Source organism: Homo sapiens, chromosome 13 (assembly GCF_000001405.40).
Source record: "Homo sapiens chromosome 13, GRCh38.p14 Primary Assembly".
In the NCBI taxonomy this organism is placed as follows: domain Eukaryota; kingdom Metazoa; phylum Chordata; class Mammalia; order Primates; family Hominidae; genus Homo; species Homo sapiens.
The window spans coordinates 105,164,582-105,170,903 of NC_000013.11; the positions used below are offsets into that span (position 1 = coordinate 105,164,582).

General features: G+C 36.8%; 1 annotated feature.

Moving 5' to 3' along the window:
* Positions 1,463-1,512: a silencer, noted in NCBI's record as "silent region_5488". NCBI's record gives its function as "represses an Ori minimal core promoter by ATAC-STARR-seq in GM12878 lymphoblastoid cells {active_cell/tissue: GM12878}" and the evidence as "EXISTENCE:reporter gene assay evidence [ECO:0000049][PMID:35858748]".

A 6,322-nucleotide genomic window follows, 5' to 3' on the forward strand; every position in this document is an offset into this window, starting at 1 on the left:
TCAGGCAACCATTTCTTAGAAGCAATGCCCAGTTTGATCTCTAAAAGAACACAGTGATAATTTGGACTTTATCAAAATTGAAAACTTTGATTCTAATGGGACAGTAAAGTGGATGCAGAGTATAGGCACAATCTAATCTGATGTATATTTTATTTCCATGTTGTACTTTTCCTCGGTTGAAATTCAATTTACATGGTTTTTGCATCGTCCCTGTTGCTTTTTAACATGTTACACCTCTCCTTTAGTTTCTTCTCTCTCAAATACAGCCACGACCTTCTCCTTTCCTCACTCAAAACCCTATCATGGCTTTCAGTGGCCACAGGATTGGGCCATGACACCTTAACTTGGCCTTCAGAACTCTTCATGGTCCAACATGGCCTGTCTCTCCAACCCCACCCCTTAATACTCCCTGGGTTGCTGAAAGCATGGGCTCTGTGTGTTGCTGTGTGACCCTGAGCAAGTTACGTAACTTATCTGAACCTCAATTCCTCATCCATAAGTGTGAAATAAACCTCTGCCACAAAGGGAACAGGGTTTCACTTGTGTGACTCCAGTGAGCTCATGCCTGTACCCACTAGGCTGGGTACACAGTCATTGCTCATCAAATGCAAGGGGACATGTTTGTAAGTAATATATTTGTAATTGATGTAATTGATAAGGGGCTTGCATGTATAATACGGAAGGAATTCTCAAAAACATTAAGAAAACAAACAACCCAATAATAAATGAGCAAAAGATTTGAAAACACTTTTTACTAAAGAAGATATACGGATGGTAAACAACCAATGAAAGGATGCTAACCATTATTAATCACTATAAATGCAAATTACTACCACTGTGTGATACCTCTGTCTTTTAGAATGACTAAAATTTTAAAAACCTGCCCATACCAAGTGTTGGCAGAGATGTGGAGTATTTTACATTTGTTTAATATAGTTGCTGCCTCAGAATCCAATTTTAGGCCTGACATAAGGTGTTTGAAATACAGTCATACCCCATCACCTCCAGCCTGGTTAAAAGCTCCCCTCCCTGTGGCTGTTTGTAATATAGCCCAGTTGTTCTTCATCTCACAGACCCAAAACCTAACACACCCTGCAGGTGCTGACCACAATAAAACTTAATAGTCAACATCAGAGTCATAGAAACAAGTTCCCTGCTGCATGCATGTTTTCTTTAAACTAGGTAATACACAACCATCACAGGAAACCTAAAGAATAAAGACCATGGACCTTAATAGCATAGTTCCCCAGGTTCTCTCTCTCTCTCACTCCCCCCCACCAACTGGGTAAACTTCCTGGGTCTACTTCTTGCAGACTTCTTGGCAGCCTCCCATCAGCACGCCTGAGCTCTCTGGACCTGTGAATGGTAAGTGTTCTCTGTTTCATGCATTTTGGTTTCACTTCATTGTATCTCTCCTGACACACACACCTGAACTTTATGTTACCCCCAGTCCAGGCTCTCTTAGATAATAGCTGTTCTGGTTAAAGGCCACTCTCAGTGAGAGAACTCAGCACCAAATTAGGAAAAAACAATTATAACGTGGCATATAAAGATCTCTCATATGCTGCTAGAGGGAAGAAAAAATATACAAACAGACTGAGAGTTTCTGAAAAGTTTAAACTTTCATGTAATCTAATCATTTTATTCCTTCATATTTGCTTGAGAGAAATAAACAAAATAAATGTATATATCCTTACAAACACTTATACTTCCTATATATAAAATTCTTCATAGCAATTTCATTTGAAATAGTCAAAAACTGGAAACAACCCAAATGTTCATTATCAGATGAAGGAATTTAAAAAATAGTTATACCTCTTAGTAATGAAAAGAATAAACTATACTGGCTACAGCATGGATGGATCTTAAAATAATTATTCCAAGTAAAAGAAGCCAGAACTCTTTTCCCACAGCAAAAAAAAAGAGTTCACCTTGTATGATTTCATTTATATCAATTTCTAGAATTTTTAAACCTGTCTTGTAACAGAAGCAGATCCATGCTCCCTAGAGGTAGAGGAGGAAGTACCTCAGGAAAGACAGGAGAAATTGCAAAAAGGCTGCAGGATTCTTTGGGAGGTGATGGATGTGTTCATCATCCTAAGTATGGTGGTATTTTTATAAATTTATAACTAGAAATACACAAACTTCAAATTGTATATTTTAAATTTGTACCATTTGTTGTTTACCAATTATGTCTCAATCTGTTAAAACAAGTGGAAAACTGAGAATTCTATTTCTTTCTGCAATACTCACAGTGACTTCTCTTCATTCTGCCTTCTACTCATAGGACATTCCCAGTGCCGCCAGTTGGACCTTGCTTCCTCATCCTCTGTGTGTTCACTATATGTTGTGCACACCAGAACATGTTGAATTGCCTGTAAGCATTTGACCGCATCTCTCTCTGATTATTAAGGTAAAACTCTGCAAATTCGCAGACCAAATTTTAAAGCTGTCATATGTGAGTGACTGTCAATGAATAGTGAATGAGTGAGATAACAGTGGCCCTTGCTTAAGGATGTTGTTAGGAGAATGAATAAACAAACAAACAAACAAACAAAGCAAAAATAAAGACTAACCAGTCGGCTGGGTGCAGTGGCTCACGTCTTCAATCCTAGCACTTTGGGAGGGCGAGGCAGGCAGATTGCTTGAGATCAGGAGTTTGAGACCAGCCTGGCCAAAATGGTGACACCTGGTCTCCATTAAAACCACAAAAAACTTAGCCCGGCATGGTAGCGCACACCTGTAATCCCAGCTACAGGAGGTTGAATCAGGAGAATCGCTTGAACACTTGAACCCAGGAGGCAAAGGTTGCCATGAGCCAAGATCGTGCCACTGCACTCCAGCCTGGGTGACAAAGGGAGACTATATTAAAAAAAAAAAAAAAAAAAAAAAGCTCCAAAAAACTAACTAGTATTTGCTTCATAATTGTTGCAGAATCTGAGACTAAGTGATGATTGACATTGCAAACTGATGAGTAAAGAACAGGGGCAAGTACTCTTGCAAATACTTAAATGCCATGTGCAAATACCAGCAGGCTAGAAGAACTCTTTAGACCAGCATGAAGAAACTTATCTAATGTAACAGGAGGTAATTAGACAAAATAGAACTATTTCAGAAAGATGAGCTTCTAAGGTCAAGTGCAGAACACTTTGGCTTAGATATTTTAGCCAATGTGAATAACATTTTTTGAAAAAGTTTTTCCCGAATCAAACATTTCTTTGCTGAGCAAACAACCAGAATTATCTACAAAGTCTTTGTAGTCATGAGAATGAGGATTTTATGAAACCTCATATACATTTGTATATCTATACAAGTGATTAGGATTAGAATTCAGTCTATGCAAAGAGTAAACACACATACAATTTGAGTCTCTATTTAAGTTTACTAATCAATTTATATCAACCTAATAACTTAAGTTTTTATAATTTCTTTATATCTTTGCTTTTATATTTAACTACAGTATGTCACTTTAGAATTCATCGAAGACCACATTTTTTTTTTATGCAATAGGATGCCATCAACATACTCAAAACAATGTCAACATCCTACACTTCAGGTCATTCAAAATGACTCTTAGAAAAATTTGAAAACGTATTTGTTAAAGTATGTACTACAAAAGAAACACACTGACATATTATTTAAATTATAAGTCAGTGTAATATTGCCAAGATAGTTGGTTGAGAGTATACTTTTTACCATGTTTTCCTTGAATAAAAAAGAAAACTGATAAAACTAAAAAGAATAGTTTCTGTGATCTTACTTCTAGATTTCCATGTGGGAAATATAAAATACCTATTCTTAACACACCCAGGTTTTGTGTTGAGCAATTTTACCTTTGAATTCTGTATTAGGGCCTCACTTTCTGGAGTGAAGGGACTTAATCTCATTATGATGTCAATCTCATTATGATGTCAATCTCCTTACTTAGGTGAAAGCTGGTTTTCATCTTCACTGCACTGAATCTGAATTAAGTAGTTGAGTTCCACGATTACTCCTTGTTTCCCTCTCTGGGAATTCCTAGCCTCAAACAGATGATTGCAAACATTCTCCCTTTTTTTGTATTCTTTTGCTAGGGGTGCTATAACCAAGTACCACTAACTGGATGGCTTATACAACCAAAATTTATTTTCTTAAAAGTATGGAGGCTGGAGAAATAAGATAATGGACTACATTCTTGCCATCCTGAAGTTTATATTTAGTGGGGGGACAGAGAAATTTTAAAAGCAATCAAATATATATCATTTCAAATGGTGTTAAAGGCTATGAAGGAAAATATGACATGTAAGTGTGCGTAAGTTGTGGGGGTGGAGAAGATTGGCTCAGGGAGGAGACATTAAGAAAGGGACAAGTGAGCAGCATCATGACACAGAAAGAGCAGCAAGTGTCCATGCTCTGAGGTGGGAAGATGTTGGAAGAAACAGTGAGGGGAATACAACGTAACAGAGGAAAGCAATAGGTGAGGCAAGTAGGGAAAGGGCTTGCAGAGGAAGTGTTGTAGAAACTCTCTCTGGGCAAGATGGATGGACATCTTGAAGCAATGTCTGAGACAAGGATTAGAGGCTAAGTAGTTTATTTGGGAGAATATTCTAGCAAATACCAGGACTAAAGTGGTAAAGTGAGACAGGGAGAGGAAGAGAACAAATACAGAGTTCATTCATAAGCAGGTTGCCCAGAGCAACTAGAATTATACCCTGTCAGGACCCTTTGGGGATGATACATCACATACCTCAGAGTGTCTTGACCTGAGGGCTGCGAATACTGGAATACTTATCCACCACTTTCTTCTGTCCATGGTTGATGGATGCTCCCAGGGCATTGAATATTTCTGTACTTCTACCTTAACTACTCATCCAGTATTGTTCCTAGAGCCAGAGGAAATCCCTAGGAAAGGAGCTACAGGTGTTTAGAATAGCAGTTACCTGTAGGGCCTGAAATAAGGAGTGTTGAGAGAGGGAGTGAAAAGAGAAGGGGGCACTGGCAACATTTTGTCTTAGCCATTGGGGGGTTTGGAGCACAGAAGTGGCAAGAATGGATGTGCATTTTTACAGACCACTGTGTCTATGAGGATGGTAACTGATTGTGTATGGGCAGGATGTGGTGACAAGAGCAGAAACAAGGAGTTAAAGTTGGTAAAACTAACAAGGAATTAGTTCTGTCATCTGGGTGAGCAAAGCATGGCCTTAAACTAACACAATAGCTGTAATAGTGGTGAGAAGTAGAAATATTATAAACACTTTATGAAGGTAGAGCTAAAAAGATTTGTCAATAGATTAGTCGTTCAGTGTAGGACAAAGATCTATTAAAGTTGTCTCTAAGGGTTTTAATCCAAGGAAATGGAAGAATGCAGTTGTCATTTACTGAAATGAGAAAGAGTGCAGGATAAGCTTTTATGAGGAAATAAGTGTGAAAACTATAATCTCGAGCCTTAAAATGCTCCTGCAATGCAAATATTACTATTCCCACTATGGAGATGAAGACAAGGTGCCCAGAAGCACCAAGAATTAGCTGGAAGATCTTAAACATATTAGTGTTATCTAGCAAGGGCAACCGTATTTGTTTACAAGGTGATAAAGGGTAATATCTGTCATGCATCTAGTACCTAGTAGGTACTCAATTAATAATGGTAATCTTATGCAAAACTCTCTTGAATGTTTTACATATAAATCTGTATTTAGAACTTATGTTTATTCCTAATCATGGTGTTTAATATTCAGCAAATTTCTCTAAACAAAATAGCTTCCAACAAAAAAAGTAGACTTTGACAAAATGAATGGAATTGTCATCTACCAAGAAGAATAAGGGATAAATTAATTAGAATTTTACATGCAAAGCAAATAAAACTTCAAATAAAAGTATAGTCTTTGTAATAAAAGCAAATTAATTTTAGTAAAACCACACAGGAAATATATAATTTGGTCACATTACAATAAAGGAACTATAATTAAAAAATTCTTGCTACTTTCCAAGAAAATGAGATTACTCAGTGCTTTCATTAATGGACTCAATGTCTTAATAGTTACAAATATATTCAACTCTAAGTTATTCAGTGACAGATTAGTCAACATTCAGGTCACTCATTGACAGAATTCTGCTAATTACTCTTCTAAGTCTTTAAGCACTATATCTAAGTTTACCACTTTTGACTGTAAGTGGCTGAAGGCAGAGGAAAATTATGCTGTAGAATCTGGCTGATTATAATTGTTTTATGAAGATATATGTAGAGAAGAGGTTGACACTTAAGACTTTCATAAGATATTTAAAAGTTACTTTGTAAATTATGGAAAACATAGCAAGCTATATTTTAAAATTATTATTTGAAATA